Source organism: Homo sapiens, chromosome 1 (assembly GCF_000001405.40).
Source record: "Homo sapiens chromosome 1, GRCh38.p14 Primary Assembly".
NCBI lineage: Eukaryota > Metazoa > Chordata > Mammalia > Primates > Hominidae > Homo > Homo sapiens.
Window position 1 is genome coordinate 194,339,198 of NC_000001.11, and position 19,206 is coordinate 194,358,403.

Below are 19,206 nucleotides of genomic sequence, written 5' to 3' on the forward strand. Positions count from 1 at the left end.
TCAATCAAATTATTTCCTTGAAATTAATATTTAAGCAAAATCATTTCAGATTTTAAAATGTTCTTTAAATTCTTTAATTTTTCTAAAGTAATCAAAAAAGGAGAAGAAAGCTTGTTTTGGCTTATGGGCTCTCAATACCTTTTAATCACAAAGCAGCTCTGTAGAAATACCGCAATCCATTATTCAGAGAAGAGAGGAAGGCATGTTACATTTTTAAAGGTTGAATCTAATCTAAATATTTGTTGAGAATACAGAGGAAGCAGAAGGATAAATCTTTGTCATCAATTTTCATGTATCTTGGAAAGATATACACCTGGCAGATTTTTTTCTTAGATAAAAGTATTTAGTTTGCAAAGTAAACTCCAGAGGAAAGCAGACACATTTAGAAGGGGGAATGTGATAAGCATCCAATTGGACCTAACAGAGACAGAAGGAGAAATCAACACAGGGAAGGACAAAATGCATCTTAAAGCAATTATCCGCAAAATGGCAGCAGATGTTCAAGCTTTTGGATGATTGGGATTCTGAGAAGTCCAGATAGAAACATATGGTGTAGTTCATCACAAAACGATTTAAAGCTATTATTGTTCATGTTATATCTTTATGTTATTCTCAATGACAGTTAATAGGTACATAGATTTTTCTCTGGTATATCATGAATGTGTGATGTGTCTGAGGTCCACATTCATTTAACTGTGTCAGAGATAGGTTGTTCCTTAATAGTTCTATGCAAAAAATAAATTTAATCGACATGCACATAAAATAAGCCTATAATTTATATTAATATTTCATATGTATATACTACATATATCTATATGGCAGAGCATAAAGATTTATGCCATTACTTGTGGTCGTTCATGTAAAATTCAGTTAGTAAGAAGAGAAACCACTAAGTTTTAAAAAGCCATGTGGCATTTTTTTCTAAAAAAATATACATGCACTGCATTCAGGAAAAAATAAGAAGTGTCCATTAGCACCTCCCACTTATTTGTGTGGGCCCAACAAAATTTTAACACTTACAAAAGGAAGTGTTAATGGTGACATTTAAAAACACTGCTTTCAAGAGGTGGGGAGACTTTATTTTAAAAAAAATTAGAACAAATACCTTTTTCTAGTTTGTGGAAAAGAAAAAATATATGTATAAGACAACATTATCATTTATTAGAATAAAGAAATTATTGAAGTTATACTGAAAATTTACAAGGTGAATTTAAGTTAACTTGATATATATAATACAATCTGTTATGAATAAAGATTTCTACATAGTTTTTAATACTTAAGGCCCCACTAACTTTCTAATCAATTAGAAGTGTTTAAGGCAACATTGTGCAATTTAGATAAAGGTTATTAAAACCATTTTTTTACACCTACAGTATAAGTCATTTTTGTTCGTTTTGCTACTTGGGCTTCAGTTAAAAAATTAGGGTAAATTTTCGGAGTGAAGTTAAAAAGTAGAGAGAAGCATTTTGAATAGAAAAATGGGATGACCCACTGTGTGTGGAGATTTTCTTTATGGTCCCAGTTTTCCAGTGAGGAAATTCAACTTTAAATCATTTACATACTTAAAAGGAAATAATAAATAATGACTTTGTTGCTAATATTTTATGAAAATGAATAATATGTAAAATGGCAATCATTTGTAGGTTTGAAAGATTTGTAATGAATTCACTCTTAAACTGGAGTGGGGGCTATATAGGTTATATAACAATAATTTATTAAAAATCCTAATGATTCACTCCTCATTCAAAAGTCTCACAGGATCTAATACTTCAAAACTAATTTCTAAACGTGTCAAAGCTGTTAAATTTCAAAACAATGCGGAAAATGAGGTATGCTAACATGAGCACAGATTTTGAGGAACAAGACCCTGCATAGTTTAAGTCAGAGTTCAATATTTTACAGGCTCAGTGACTTCATTGACTTTATTAATCAATTTCTGTGTTTCAGATTTTGGGGATATAAAATTAAGAAAGTAATAATGTCCACCCCATTAATTCGTAATAGGAAAAAAGAAAATAATTTATTCTAAATTATTTTTTAAACTGTAAATCCCCTTTATTATTGTTTTTCTGCATAGTTTCTAATACTTAAGGTCCCACTAACTTTCTACATCAGTTGTAAGTATTTAAGGCAACACTGTACAATTTAAAGATTGTTAAAACCATTTTTACACCTACAGTATAAGTCATTATACAGTACACATTTGAAATCCAGAACCACATAAGTAATTAAACTTCAATAAACTGAGTAACAGATGTTCAGCTAATGGGCAATTAAATCTATAGCCATTTTACCTAAAGTGAAGGAAGTTGATACAACGTGAAGTTTTACAAAGCCATACAAGCCTCTTACAACACTTATATTCAGCATTTATTGAATAGACAAGATCTACAGATTTAGAATACAAATTGTAGAAATTAATGTATAAATATGGAATATATGTGTATATATATATTTTTTCTATCTCTTTCTCTACTTTAATTCTACTAGAAGCCTAAAAACACCCATACAATTGGCTGGGTCACATTTGTAAGAGGGCTGAAACCTGAGGGCCATCTGACTGTACTTCCTGCCAAGATACTAGGCTGCTTGTAAGAGGTGGTGGCTGGGATAAACATCACAGCTATGGCTTCTAGGTTTGACTCTTGAGTCCTTTCATTCTATATTTTGATGTCTCACAGAAATGGTTCTAGTGATTTGTATGCGCAAGAAATTATTATAGAAAAGACATTTGTTTCCTTTGTGAAATTTCAGAAATTCAGTTAGCTAGAAACAAAATTAATGAGTCACAATATGATAAATAATGTTTAAACATCTTACTTGACATAGTCAAACAAAATACAAAATTAATCAAACTTATTTTAAAAATATTACATTTTCTAAATCTAAATCTGGCCGATGAAAAATCTAATTTGTATTTATAATCCATTGTCTGTTACTATATAACTAATGTATCTATTCAAGCATTTACTCAACATAGAATTTCACTAAATATATATAATTATATATATTTAAATAAAATGCCTTTTATATATGTAATGTATATTATACAATAACTATATTATATATGTATTATATAATATATATTTAAAATATATGTAAAATATATTTATATAAAACAATGTATTATATATTTATGTATTATTATATAAAATAAGATTTATATACAATTATATATTATTGATACAGGAGGGTGGCAGGGAAGTGCTGTGTAGAGAAGGGCATGGTCCCTGGCTAGGGCTCCATCCCCAGGCCTGTGCCCATGAACCTAGGTGAGGACAGGCATTTCTGTTTTTGTGCCAAATGTTGCATTTATCAAGACCACCCTAGCCTGCCATGAACCAATCCTGTGCCTATAAAAGCCCCGAGACCCTAGCGGGCAGAGACACAGTTGGCTGAACGTTGACAGGAACACACCGATGGAAGAAGACAGCAGCAGACCCCAGCAGATGCTGGCAGGCCATCTACGGCAAGGCGACACAGATGTCAGTCAGAGCTGGTCGGAGGAATGCCCAGCCGCTGAGCAGCCTGACTCCAGGGGAAAACCACCTTATCACTCCATCCCCCTTCTGTCTCCCGATCCATCTACTAAGAGCTACTTCCACCATTCTATAAAAACTTGCACTCATTCTTCAAGCTCAGGTGTGATCCGACTTTTCTGGTACACCAATGCAAGTACCGGGGGTACAGAAAGCCCTCTGTCCTTGTAATAAGGCAGAGGGTCTAATTGAGCTTATTAACACAAGCCGCCTATATACGGCTAAACTAAAAGAGCACACTGCAACATGCCCACTGGGGCTTCAGGAAGCATTCACCCCTAGAGGCTGCTGTGGGGTCGGAGCCACACAGCCTGCCCGTCTGCATGCTCCCCCTAGAGGTTTGAGCAGTGGGACCTCAAAAGAGTAAGTAGCATCCCCATCACATGACCTACCGGGGGATAAAGGAAGTTTTCCCATTTCATTATTATACAGAAATATTACTTGAATTACGTAATATATTATATTACAAATATATATAAAAGGCATTTCATTTAAATATTTTTAAGAGCCCATATAACATATACGATCTTCCAAAATTTTTATGAAAATAAAATGTCCTGTTTATACAAAATCTTCATAATTTGTAAAATGTAATTACTTAGTTTCTCAATCCTAAGAACTCTAATAAATTCTCCTTGTTTTTGGCTGTTGACTGGTCAGGATTGACTGATTGGTTGCTGAAGGGTGGTGTGGCTGTGGCAATTTCTTAAAATAAGACAACAATGAAATTGGCCGCATTGATAGACTTTTCCTTTCATGAACAATTTTATTCATAATAGAACTTCTTTCAAAATTGGAGTCTATCTTTTCAAACTACTGGAGCTTTATTAATTAACTTGATATACTATTCTAAATTTATTTGTTCTCATTTCAACAATGTTAATGGCAACTTCAGCTGAAGTAGGTTCCATTTCAAGAAACCACTTTATTTTTTTCATCCACAAGAAGCCTTTTCTCATCTGATGTGGTTTTATCATGAGATTGCCACAATCCAGTCCCTTATTCAGGCTGCACTTCTCTTTCTATTTCTCTTGCCATTTCCATCACATCGTCAGTTACTGTCTTCACTGAAGTCTTAAACCCCTCAAAGCGATCCATGAGGGCTGGAATCAACTTGTTCCAAACTCTTTTTAATATTGATATTTTCACCTTATCTAATGAATCATAAATGTTCTTAATGAGATGTAGAATGGTGTATCTTTTCAAGATTTTCAATTTACTTAACACAAATCTGTGGTAAGACTCTAAATAAGACAAACAAGACTCGAAAGTCAAAATTACTCCTTGATCTGTGGGCTACATAGAGGATCTTCTGTTAGCAGGCATGAAAATAGCATTAGTCTCCGTGTTCATCAGAGCTCTTGGCTGACTGGGTGTACAGATTATTGTTAAAGAACAATAATCTTTTCAAGGGAATATTCTTTTCTAAGCAATAGGTCTCAAAAGTGGGTTTAAAATGTTCAGTAAACAGTACTGTAAATAGATATACTGTTATCCAGTCTTTGTTTTTCCATTTTTAGAGCACAGGCAGAATAGATTCAGCATAACTATTTAGGGCCCTAGGCTTCTTGCCATGGTAAATGAACATTGGCTTCAACTTAGTGATCAGCTACATTAGCCCCTACCAATAAAGTCCACCTGTCCTTTGAATGTTTGAAGCCAATAATTCACTTCTTTCAAGCTATGAAAGTCATATTCTTCCAATAGAAGATGTCATATTCTTCCAATAGAAGGCTGTTTTGTCTACATTGAAAATCTATTGTTTTATTGTAGCCCTCTTCATCAGTGATCTAAGCTAGATCGTCTGGCTAACGTGCTGCAGCTTCTCCATCAGCACTTACTGCTTCACCTTGCATGTTTATGTTATGGATCTGGCTCCTTTTCCTAAACCTCATGAACCAGCCTCTGCTAGTTTTCAACTTTTCTTCTATAGCTTCCTTACCACTCTCAGCTCTCAGCTGTCATAAAATTAAAGAGAGTTAGGGCCTTGAGCTGGGTTAGGCTTTGGCTTAAGGGAATGTGAGGGCTGGTTCTTCTATCCAGACAACTCAAAAGTTTTCCATATTACAATTAGGCTGTGTCCCTTTCTTATTATTTGCTTGTTCATTAGACTAGCACTTTTAATTCCCTTCAAGAACTTTCCCTTTGCATTCACAATGCAGCTAACTGTTTAGCAGAAGATGCTTAACTTTTGGCCTACCTTGCTTTTTGACATGCCTTCCTCAGTAAACTGAATAATTTCTAGATTTAATTCGAGAGACAGGAGGATCTTCTCTTCACTTGAACACTTAGAGGTCCTTGTAGGGTTATTAATTTGCCTAATTTTAATAATGTTGTGTCTCAGAGAATAGGAAGGCCCAAAGAGAAGGAATATAAGATGTGGAAATGATTGGTGAGTGGAGCACTGAGAACATACAAAACATTTGTTGATTAAGTTTGTCATCTAATGTGGGCATGATTTGTAGCATCTCAAAACATTTACAATAGTAACATCAAAGATCACTGATCAACGATCACCAAAACAGAGTAATAATGACAGTTTGAAATATTGCGAGAATTACAAAAATGAGGCAAAAAGACACAAAATGAGCTTGTGCTATTGAAAAATAAAATGTTACCAGTAGACTTTCCCCCAACCTTCAATTTGTAAAATGGCAGTATCGGTGAAGTACAATAAAATGATATATGCCTATACATTGGAAAAATTCACTTGTCCTAATTCCATTCTTGATTTTTTCCTATCCTATGTTACTCAACTTAGATTCCCAGACATGATAATGTAATGTAATGAGCAAATGTAATGACACAATTACATAATGAGTAATCCATCGTCTACTTCTATTAGCCGAGCTAGTATTTGATTGAGCACTTAATGTACATTAAGTACCTGATCTTATTTAATCTCCCCTGTAAAAGAAGCAATTTTAGAATAACCATTGTTGTAAACTGAATTAAGACAGTGAGATAAACACAACCTTGAAGCTACTTTTGGTTTAAAGTATAGTCATCAAAACTTTTGGTCCCATTAACATGTTACATATATCCAGCCATTTATTAAATGTGCATTCCTTAGTAAGGACACACATTACAGTTCATTCAGCTTCTCTTGGCTCTTTGTCTTGCTAGGTAGTCCAATCAAATTTTGACCAAAATGTTTGCTCAAAGAGGATGCAATCATACTCTAGGAGCAGGGTTTTAGAATCTTATTTTTAGACAAATAACCCACTCCAACTTTCTCTCTCCCCATAATGGAACACAAGACCATTTAAAGATTAAACTTGGATTTCCTTGCTAAAGAGTACAAACTACAGGGCTTACCTTGTATAACAAAGTGTAAGGAATAATGTTAAAATATTCCAGTCAATCAATTTTCTTAAATACTGCTTATTTTACCCATAAAGTATCATTTTAAATCTTTCAATATGCAAATCAACAAGTTACTAAATTTACCAGTGAAAATCTAAATTTTAATATTTATATTTCTTATGTTAAATAGAATGTCCTCAAATGTTGATTGCTAATAAAGATAGCTGAGCTGTTTCAATAACTGCCTTTGGAGAGGCCCTATAATGAAAGACTATCTGAATATATCTGAGGAATGAACTTCTAACCAGAACAAATAATGTTCCTTAGAATAAGGGCTTAAGACAATTAAAATACACATTGGTATCACGTTATAATACCCATCATAGCACCTATCTTAGAGATGAGAAGAGAGATATAGAGAAGTTTAGTAACTAGCTTGCTGTCACAAGTCTAATAAATACCAGAACCGTGAATTAGACCTAGAGCTCCTCGACTCAAGCTTGTACCAATTCCATTCAATCAGAGCGCCTTGTAGCAGCATAATCCAACTAATTTAAAAGTATGAAATTGTAAAAATACGAACTTCTTTTATTGGCAGGCTTCTGTAGAAATATATTTCTTCTCTTTAATAACAAACTTAAAACTGGACCACTAAACAAATTTTTAGTAAACTTAGAAACTGTAGGCCATATATCTGCCTTCTGCAATTTTCCTTTCATACTCAGCTAAGTGTCAGTTATGGTTAAATTCCATCTTTAGAACCTGATAAAATTATATTTAATACCTTGACAGCCAGAAAAAAAAAAGAAAGAATTGAATTTCAAACCTTTCATGCAAAAGAAACTGGAAACATTTTCTAAGTTCCAGGACACTAAACAGATTTACAGGATTGTTATATTTATAGTTTAAATTCCAAAAAGTTCTGGGGACAAAGTGATCTATAACAGTATCTTCTCCCATGAAAGAGATAATACCTACATTTATAATGCAGATAAGTTAACTAGGGAGGGGGTGTATAGGCATATTCTAGGGGAAGTAAAAGAAAAAACAATTTTTGTTTTAATGTTAGAAGATAATATTAAATCTAGGTCATGTAGCTATAGTCAATTGCCTGTAACATAAACACAAATTTGTGATATCTCTCTCTCTCAGCAATAAAATGGGACATTATGTTCCCCATGGCCTTGTCAAAAATATCGGCTTTTTCTTAGATTGACACCTATCTTAGGGAAAAGCTCTTGTAATACTAGTGTTTTAGAGCAAAATTTACAAGTTGTATCTCGTAGATGGAAAAGGCATTCTTCTGCTCTGACATCAGGTCTGTATTCACAGATCTATATATAGATCATTGATATATGAATTAGAGCCCATTGTGTGACTCACACTCCAGGGAATCCTTTTGTATTATTGTGCTCCTTGCATGATTTTCTTAAAACCTGAGGTGAGAAAGTAACATATTTTGTCCTGACCCTACTTCTCCATATTCAGGGATAGAAAATGCCACAGAATTCTAGCAATATTCACTAAAGTAACTTGGATATTCCTACTCACTTTATCTTCAACATCTGTTTATCCTTAATACACATTTGTTAGTTATAGATGTCAGAACATAACAATCCAAATGCATTTATATATAGTAAATATAAGGTTAATATTTTTGCTCACGTAAGTAAAAAGACCAGTGAGATGGTTTGGCTGTGTCCCCACCGAAATCTCAACTTGAATTGTATCTCCCAGAATTCCCACGTGTTGTGGCAGGGACCCAGTAGGAGGTAACTGAATCATGAAGGCCGGTCTTTCCCATGCTATTCTCGTGCTAGTGAGTAAGTCTCATGAGAGCTAATGGGTTTATCACGGGTTTCTGCCTTTGCTTCTTCCTCATTTTCTCGTTTCTGCCATGTAAGAAGTGTCTTTCACCTCTCGCCATGATTCTGAGGCCTCCTCATCCATGTGGATCTGTAAGTCCAATTAAACTTCTTTTTCTTTCCAATCTCAGGTATGTCTTTATCAGCAGCATGACAACAGACTAATACAGTAAATTGGTACCAGTAAGGTGGGGCATTGCTGAAAAGATACCCAAAAATGTGGAAGCAACTTTGCAACTGAGTAACAGGCAGAGACTGGAACAGTTTTGAGGACTCAGAAGAAGACAGGAAAATGTGGGAAAGTTTGGAACTTCCTAGAGACTTGTTGAATGGCTTTGCCCAAAATGCTGATAGCGATATGGAAAATAAGATCCAGGCTGAGGTGGTCTCAGGTGAATATGAGGAATTGTTGGGAACTGGAACAAAGGTGACTCTGGTTATGTTTTAGCAAAGAGAATTGTGGCATTTTTCCCCTGCCCTGGAGATTTGTGGAAATTTGAACTTGAGAAAGATGATTTAGGGTATCTGGGGGAAGAAATTTCTAAGCAGCAAAGCATTCAAGAGGTGACTTGGGTGTTGTTAGAGGCATTCAGTTTTAAAAGGGAAACAGAGCATAAACTTTCAGATAATTTGCAGCCTGACTATGCTATAGAAAAGAAAAACCCATTTTCTCGGGAGAAATTCAAGCTGGCTGCAGAAATATGTATAAGTAGCAAGGAACCTAATGTTAATCCCTAAGACCAAGGGGAAAATGTCTCCAGAGCATGTCAGAGATTCTCACAGCAGCCCCTCCCATCACAGGCCCAGAGGCCCAGGAGGAAGAAGCAGTTTCACGGGCTGGGCCCAGGGTCCCTGAGCTGTGTGCAGCCTAGGGACTTGGTGCCCTGTGTCCCAGCTGCTCCAGCCATGGCTGAAAGGGGCCAACAGGGAGCCCGGGCTATGGCTTCAGAGGGTGGAAGCCCCAAGTCTTGGCAGCTTCCATTTGTTGCTGAGCCTGCGGGTGCAGAGAAGTCAAGAATTGAGGTTTGGGAACCTCTGCCTATATTTCAGAAGATTTATGGAAATGCCTGGATGCTCAGGCAAAAGTTTGATGCAGGGGCGGGGCCCTCATACAGAACCTCTACTAGGGCAACGTGGAAGGGAGATGTAGGGTTGGAGCCCCTACAAAGAGTTCCTACTGGGGCACCACCTAGTAGAGCTGTGAGAAGAGGGCCACCATTCTCCTGACCCCAGAATGGTAGATCCACCAACACCATGTGCCTGGAAAAGCCACAGACACTCAAGGCCAGCTGGTAAAAGCAGCTGGGTGGGAGGCTGTACAAAGCCACAGGGGTGGAGCTGCCCAAGACCATGGGAACCCACCGCTTACATCAGCGTGACCTGGATGTGAGATCTGGAGTCAAAGGAGATCATTTTGGAGCTTTAAGACTTGACTGCCCTGCCAGATTTCAGACTTGCATGGGCCCTGCAACCCCTTTGTTTTGGCCAATTTCTCCCATTTGAAATGGCTGTATTTACCCAATACCTGTACCGCCATTGTATTTAGGAAATAACTAACTTGCTTTTGATTTTACAGGCTCGTAGGCTAAAGGAACTTGGCTTGTCTCAGATGAGACTTTGGGCTGTGGACTTTTAGGTTAATGCTGAAATGAGTTAAGACTTTGGCGGACTGTTGAGAAGACATGATTGGTTTTGAAATGTGAGGCCATGAAATATGGAGGAGCCAGGTTGAAATGATATGGATTGGCTGAGTCCCCACCCAAATTTCAACTTGAATTTTATCTCCCAGAATTCCCATGTGTTGTGGGAGGGACACAGGAGGAGGTAATTGAATCATGGGGGCTGGTCTTTCCTGTGCTATTCTCATGATAGTAAATAAGTCTTATGAGATCTGATGGGTTTATCAGGGGTTTCCACTTTTCCTTTTTCCCCATTTTCTCTTGCTGCAATCATGTAAGAAGTGCCTTTCACCTCCCACTGTGATTCTGAGGCCTTCCCAGCCATGTGGAACTGAAAGTCCAATTAAACCTCTTTTTCTTCCCAGTCTCAGATATGTCTTTATCAGCAGGGTGAAAAAGGACTCATACAATCAGGAATAATAATGTTTCAGGCATCCCAAAATTTTATCACCAGGAATAGGTTTCTCTATTATAATCCCATAATTCTTTATTCTCCCTTTCAGGCCATATAGCCAAAAACCAAGGTAAAAAAATAAAAATGTAAATTATGACCAAACTTCAAAATAGCTGTGGTTAATATGTTCAAGAAAATAGAAGAATTACAGAAATAAAGGTATATAAATTTTTAATAAATGTTAGAATCTAGAAAACAGGATAAAATTGGTATTCTAGGATTGACAAATAAAATACCTGCTATTAATACCTCAGTAGATGGTTTCAAAAGTGTATTAGATACAACAGAAAAGATTACTGAGCTTGAAGATAGTCAATATCCAATATCAAAATAAAGCAGAGAGAATTAAGAGAAAGACAATACAGAAAGAAGTGTCTGAGTCATGTGAACACAAAGGATTATTTATCGTATGTTCAACCAGAATTCCAGAATTAGAGAAGACAAACAATGGGACATATATGATAGCTAAACAGTTAACCAGCAAAAAAATGAGAAATCCTTAAAAGACATCAAATTTTCAATAAGCTGAGAGAATCACATGCAGTAGAAATACAATAACGAGGCAAAAAATACCAATTTAAAAATTCCACCATGACCCATTTTAATCAAATTATAATGGCAATAATAATAATAATCCCAAAAGTAGCAAGAGAAAAGAAGCATAGTACCTTCAAAGCAGCAAAAGAAGACAGCTGACTTTTCAACAAAATTGACAATGGTCTAAAAACAACTGAAAAACATTTAAAAGATGCTGAAATGTAAAAATAGAAATAAAAAGTCTTTTCTAGAATTCTAAATCAAGCAAAAATGTCATTGAGTACTCAGACTGAATAGGCATTTTCAGAAAAAAACGACAACTTATTTTATTTTGTTTTAACCCACAGAACCTGCACTGGAAAGATACTAAAGCAAGCTCTTCAAGGAAAGTAAAAATAGTCAACGGGAGTACAAGAGAAATACAGGAATAAACCTTGGCGTATTTTCCCGAGCATTAATGGGTTGACAGTGAAGATGAATCACCTGTCTCTAACATTCTACTATCAAAACCTGAGATCAGAAGTTCCATGTAAAAATATATCAGCTGGCCGCGGTGGCTCACGCCTATAATCCCAGCACTTTGGGAAGCTGAGGCAGGCAGATCACTTGAGGTCAGGAGTTCAAGACCAGCCAGACATTATCCTTACACATAGGTGAAAAAGTAAGGTAAAAAATTAGTAAGAAAATTGTCACTGGTTTATACAAAGTTAGTATTGGTGAGATAAGACTTAAGACCTCCCTATTTTCCCTTATTTCACTGATAATGGAATAGCTGATTGCTACCTATAACCAAATTGTGTCCTTGTTATATCAGTAAGTGTAATATTTTGTGTGTATTTTTCATATAAATATGTTCATCTTCTTAATTCATTTCACACAGGTATTACACTAGACTATAAACACAATATTAGAGAGTCATTTGAAAGTTTGCATAGAAGAATCAAGATCAAAATGCAGAAGTACTGATTCCTTGCAAAGAAATCATTTTGTCCTCTCCCAAAATAGGAGAATGTAAAGTAAAATAGAAATAAGCTGAAAGAGTTAATTATTACTTGGATTAAGTGCCTGAGATACTCCAAATTATCTCATATGTTGTGATAATATATCTCTACACCTATAACTTATCTCCACCCTCTGATTCCATAGTTATGCCTGAATTGCTCCAAAGAACATTACAGTTTATGTCAGTACCAGAAGACTTCCAAATGTAATTTGGCAAAAGAAGATAGAACATTTTCATTCAGGAAATTGTTCTTCTTAATTGCTGTCTCATTTTATGTGTAATATCTTCTTCTGAAGAAATAATAGGCATTCCTTTATAGGAACATGCAAACCATCAAGGCTTATGAAGTCCCAAGTTTTTGAATTTCCTGAAGATGATAAAGTAAAAGTTATTTCTTGTTACATGTAGTTTTGAATATATTTATATTACAAATCTGTTTCAAGGCTTTAAAAAAATATTTTAGCACTAAATTAAAATGTGTTAAGTAGAGAATGGATTTTATCCTTATTAAATGGGGACTGTACCATTTCGAGATAAGAGACCAGAGATGTTGATATTTTAACTACTGGGAACTTATTACAGTAACTAGTAGCATGGAAGGTAAGTATCTAACTAATAAAACAGAGCGTAGTGGAAACATATGAACTCTGAGTTTGACTGGTTTTTGTTTGTTTGTTTGTTTTGTTTTGTTTCGTTTTTGAGACCGAGTTCAGTGGCGCGATCTTGGCTTACTGTAACCTCTGCCTCCCAGGTTCAAGCGATTCTCCTGCCTCAGCCTCCAGAGTAGCTGGGATTAACCTGCCTCAGCCTCCCAAAGTGCTGAAATTACAGGCATGAGCCACCACGCCTGGCTGAGTTTTGACACTTCAGCACTAAAACAGAAGTTGTACAAATATAAATGAATCTTGCCAAGGATGGAGAGAATTGCAACAAGCAAACATACAGAAAACTAAGTTATTTTTCTGTTGGGAGCAAGCCCCCCAAAATCCGGCCATAAACTGGCCCCAAGACTGGCCATAAACAAAATCTCTGCAGCACTGTAACATGTTCATAATGGCCCTAACGCCCAAGCTGGTAAGTTGTGGGTTTACGGGAATGAGGGCAAGGAACACCTGGCCCGTCCATGGCGGAAAACCACTTAAACGCATTCTTAAGCCATAAACAATGGCATGAATGATCTGTGTCTTAAGTGCATGTTCCTGCTGCAGTTAACCAGCCTAACCTATTCCTTTAATTCAGCCCATCCCTTCATTTCCCTTAAGGGATACTTTTAGTTAATTTAATATCTATAGACACAATTATAACGACTGGTTTGCTGTTAACAAACATGTGGGTAAATCTCTGTTTGTGGCTCTCAGCTCTGAAGGCTGTGAGACCCCTGATTTCCCACTTCACACCTCTATATTTCTGTGTGTGTCTTTAATTCCTCTAGCGCTGCTGGATTAGGGTCTCCCCAACCAAGCTGGTCTGAGCATTTTTCACCCGACCGAGCTGGTCTCAGCATTTTTCACATTTATTTGGTATGTCGCTTTATTTTCTTTCATTTCCTTGCCAGTCACTGCTAACTTTGATCTCAACGTACTTGATTCAGATTTTACACTTTCATATTGCTCAAATTTGGTGACTCTATTATTCCTCTAGCAGTTTCCCCAGATCAGCACATAGACACAACCCTTACCATTCACCATCACCACATACATCACACATGTTATCAGGCTGGAGTATTATCTTCCATTTTGCTATTTGCATATTATGACACAAACCAGACACTACCTCAATTATTGGGTCATGAATTTTTTTCCAATATAAGAAGCACATTAAAAGAAAACATAAAAACTCCTTCAAATGAATAATTGACAAAACTCTACACTCTTAACCTGTCAGGAGATAAAAAGCCGAGATATCGCTTTGAAAGGCACTCTGGAAGTTCTATCCCTAAGGTGACTGAGATTTTTATCACAAGTAAAAAAATATGAACTCATATACGCCAGAATTTTTCAGATGAAATATAAATATTTCAAGAATTAACTTATATCGGTTAACTAGAGTTAACAAAGTTTATAAGGCAAAGATGAAAATCATTACTTTTAATCTGAGCGTGGCCCCATAGCAAGCAGAATCAAAGTTGTAATGGTAAGGAATAAGGAATAAGGAATTTTTAATAGTTTTGTCTATTCTGAAAGTATAGGTAGTCTATGGAATCAATAGCTTGGAGGCTGACACCATTGAGCAATTATGAACATCACGACTCTCTACTCTTCATCCTCTGACACACACCACTCCATGGGAAATTAGAGTGGCACTTCATTACTGCCAGGTTGGTGAGGTAACCTAAGTTTTCCCTCTTGTTTCCACTGGCATTGCAACGGGGAAATGCTTGTAAGCAACCAGTGAAGATGAAAACTCTGGATCTCTTTTTGGCCTCCTCTGACATCAGAGTTGGGTGCCTTGGTATAGCCTGGTAAGGGCGGAAGTCCAGGCTCACCACCTGGCTTTTGCCAGCACGAATGGAGGTAGTCTCACAGTTTCTGCTGTGGAGTTTTGCTAGAGTAGACCTGTTATTGTCCAGAAGATTTTCTGTCTTGCTAGACTGCTCCTTCTCTAGATAGAGTGGATTTTGTTGAGACTTTATTTTGCCTGTGCCTATTGGTATTTTTATGTTGCTGACTTCTTCTGTTCCAAGACTGGGTTATATGAGAACAAAAGGAAACCCAGGGATCTTACCTTCCTGTCCTTCTTCAGGCTGCAAGGTCCCTGGCTGGTCTGCCTGCTTTTCTTCATCTCTCAAAGTCCTCTTAAACTTGTTTCATATGTAATTTGCAGGGGTTTTAATTGTTCCTAGTGGGAAGAATAGTGAAAAGTACATACTTCAACTTCTCAGAAGTTGAAATTCCCTGCAGTCGTTTTAACTTTCTTAGAACTAAAAAGTGCTTATTTGTGTATCAGCCAAATGGAAAATATATTATTTCCTCCCTGAAGTTATTATTTCTACTATCCTTGTTCTACTAGCACAGAAAAAATTTATATTAAAAAATAAAAACTCTATGTTATATTGACATAATTTCTCTATGTATCTACTTGGATTAATTAGTATTATAGAAACATATGTGGTAACAAAAGTCTAGCTTTTTTTTTTTTTTCCATTCACTGGCTTAATACTTACTTACTTTAAGTTTTCACTACTTATTCCCAGGGATATTCAAAGGGGAAGTTTTATAAATGTTAATAGGATTAAGACCTTCTGATGCATTGCTCTTATAATACATTTTAAAACAGAAGAAACTGCATCATTTTTCTCCTACATAGATCAACAACTATATTCTTGGTGTTGGATTAGTTAATTACTATCAAAGTAATTACTTTCAATGGCAAAAACATCAATTACGTTTGCACCAACCTATAGTTACACTGCGAAAAGTGACTATGGTATATCATGATGGGGTATTCTAGAGTTCAGGAAATCTGTTTCCTCATCTGGAGTCTCATTGCATATGGTTGTTTAATATTATATGTAAATATTCATAAAAATGTGCATTTATGTTTTTGCACCACTTTTTTGTAAAGGTTAGACTTCATTAAAGGAATTACCAGATTATAATGAAGGTGTATCCCTGGGGAGCAGATGTGTGATGGGCTTAAATGACAACCAGCTAAAAGAGAATGAGATAAAAAAATGTGAATTGTTTTCAAGTGAAAAAAGCTAAGAAATGGTTAACTAAAGTTTATAAAACCTAATGTCATGTAAGAAATGCACTGTAGTCTTATGTTTCTGTACAGCTCAGCTTTGCTATTTATATAACCATCATAATATAAATGCAGAACATTGCTTGAATAAAATGATAACACTAAAATGGGAATATTAGAAGAGAAGTTCAGTGTGAACGTAGTTACAAAAGGCAAGAAATTCCCATTTTTTAAAATAAGAATGTAATACATAATTTCTAAAACTGAAAAATAAAAAAATAGGTATATGCTGTGGAGGAAAGTTCTCAAAAAGAATTAAGTGTATTAAAAATGAACTGAGAGAGACTATAATACCACGAAAGTGCATAATAGTGAAGAAAAAAATAAAGTTTCCTCAGCTGTCAGGTGTACGCAAATCTTTTGATCTGAATGTAGAAATACTCACAAAAACTACCAGGAGACCATTTCTGAAAGTAGTCAATTATGTTTAAACATTTATCTCCTTAAAATATGCAAACCACCAAACTGGAGTTATGTTTTTAGTTGGTAATTGATTTTTTTTTTTTTTTGAGATGTCGCTTCACTCTTGTCCAGGCTGGAGTGCAGTGGCGCGATCCCGGCCCACCGCAACCTCTGCCTCCCAGGTTCAAGGGATTTACCTGCCCCCGCCTCCAGAGCAGCTGGGACCACAGGCGTGTACCACCATGCCTGGACAGTTTGTTTGTTTGTTTGTTTGTTTTTGTATTTTTAGTAGAGACTGGGCTTTGCCACCTTGTCCAGGCTAGTCTCGAATCCCCGACTTCAGGCTATCCGCCAGCCTTGGCCTCCCAAAGTTCTGGGACCACAGGCATGACCCACCATGCCTGGCAATAATTGGTATCTCTTAACTCTCATTCTAGTTTTCTAGAATCAAAATTGTTAAGAATAAGGAGTTGAGACAAAGGTAGAAGAATCCACACTATAGTGTTCCAAACTGTTTTCAAAACTAACTCATTCCTTTGGTTCAAAGAGAAAAAAGGTTACCTCCTTTTAAAATCTAATATGAGTATGGCTGATGGAAATTAGACCAGTCTTACAAATTATAAACCTACAGTAGCAACCATAAAATTTATGCTGTGCTAGGAAATGATAGAGCTATCCCTAGTGTGCTGTTTAGCATACAGAAAGTACTCCAAAATAATGACTGGGGCTGGGCGTGGTGGATCACACCTGCAATCCCAGCACCTCGGGAGGCCGAGGCAGGTGGATTATTTGAGTCAGGAGTTCGAGACCAGCCTGGCCAATACAGCAAAACCTCGTCTCTACTAAAAATGTAAAAATTAGCCAGGTGTGGTGGCGTGAGCCTGCAATCCCAGCCACTTGGGAGGCTGAGACAAGAGAATTGTCCAAACCCGGGAGGCAGAGGCTGCAGCAAGCCAAGACCACGCCACTGCACTCCCGCCTGTCGGACAGAGCGAGACTGTGTCTCAATAAATAAATAAATAAAAATTAGTGGGTGAATGAAAAGGGATTTTGCAAAATTAGGCCTTGCAGAATGTTAGAAGTCATCCAGTCCAACTCATTCACAGCACTCCCTCCCCTGCAGTCCCATTTTAAAGACAGGAAACCCCAACCTGTAGTACTCACAGATTCTGCTGAGATCCATCTCCACCCACTAACTGGAAGCAATCACTTATTTTGGAGTGTATGTGTGTGAATGTGTGTGTGTGTCTGACCAAAAGGTATAAATGAGTAACATTTCTACACTGTTTATTCTGTACTTTTCTTTGGAGTTAATGCAACAACTCCTGTCACTTCGATTAGATTTAAAAGGAAACAGGAGAAATATGTCTAGTCACAATGGGGTTGCTGTTAGGAAGTCAGACTTAAGATTGTGGATCTAAGAGTAGAATCCACTTCTCAGAGACTGGGAGTGTAAAATGACCACTCAGGTTAGAGTTTCTAACTGACAGCCAGGAGGAAAACTTATTCTAAAATTTTGTTTTGCCTAGTTTAAGTTACATTTTAAGTCACTGTTTAAGCTGTTACAGGATTACTGTAAAAAGTTTCAAAGTAATTTTTAGTCATTACCTACCCTAAAATTTGAAAGTCAAGTCAATAGCATGCTTTATTCTAACTACCGTTAAAGCTCAAACTATTTTTTAACAGATTATAATATTCCTCTTAGCTTTTCTTCTGGGCACTTACACCTCTTCCTACTTTGTCTAGTATTTCTCCAGCACATGTACCTTTGTGTTTCTCTGCCCATGTACATACCTCTGAAAGTTCAACAAAAAAAGTTATGAAAAAGCAGAGAGAACCCAAAATATTTCTTATACTGCCAAGTTCCCTTTAAGCCTTGAGTACTTGTTACACTACATGGTTGTATTAATGCTTACTGTGTCCGGAATTGGTGGGTTCTTGGTCTCACTGACTTCAAGAATGAAGCCGCAGACCCTCGCGGTGAGTGTTACAGCTCTTAAGGTGGCGCGTCTGGAGTTTCTTCCTTCTGGTGTTCCCGCCCAGTTCGTGGTCTCCCTGGCTCAAGAGTGAAACTGCAGACCTTCGCCATATTACAGCACTTAAGGCAGCGCGTCTGGAGTTGTTCGTTCCTCCCGGTAGGCTCGTGGTCTCGATGGCTTCAGGAGTGAAGCTGCAGACCTTCGCGGTGAGTGTTACAGCTCATAAAAGCAGCGTGGACCCAAAGAGTGAGCAGTAGCAAGATTTATTGCAAAGAGCGAAAGAACAAACCTTACACACCAGAGAAAGGGAACGGAGCGGGCTGACGCTGCTGGCTCGGGCAGCCTGCATTTATTCACTTATCTGGCCCCACCCACATCCTGCTGATTGGTAGAGCCGAGTAGTCTGTTTTGACAGGGAGCTGATTGGTGCGTTTACAATCCCTGAGCTAGACACAAAGGTTCTCCACTTCCCCACCAGACTCAGGAGTCCAGTTGGCTTCACCCAGTGGATGCCACACCAGGGCTGCAGGTGGACCTGCCTGCCAGTCCCGGTGCCGTGCGCACGCACTCCTCAGCCCGTGGGTGGTCGATGGGACTGGGCGCCGTGGAGCAGGTGGCGGCGCTCATCCGGGAGGCTCGGGCGGCAAAGGAGCCCACGGACGGGGTGGGAGGCTCAGGCATGGTGGCCTGCAGGTCCC

The 19,206-nt window shown here is 37.2% G+C and overlaps 1 long non-coding RNA gene across 1 annotated transcript in view; it reads right to left on the bottom strand.

Annotated features, from left to right (window-relative positions):
* Positions 1–18,643, bottom strand: part of LOC107985242 (uncharacterized) — a 199,987-nt gene extending 181,344 nt beyond the window's left edge. The window contains exons 1-2 of the long non-coding RNA XR_001738356.2: positions 18,446–18,643; positions 15,108–15,221 (exon numbers count right to left, since the gene is read on the bottom strand). This is a non-coding gene — a long non-coding RNA (uncharacterized LOC107985242). The remainder of the gene's footprint in view (positions 1–15,107; positions 15,222–18,445) is intronic.
* Positions 18,644–19,206: the final 563 nt, after the last annotated feature.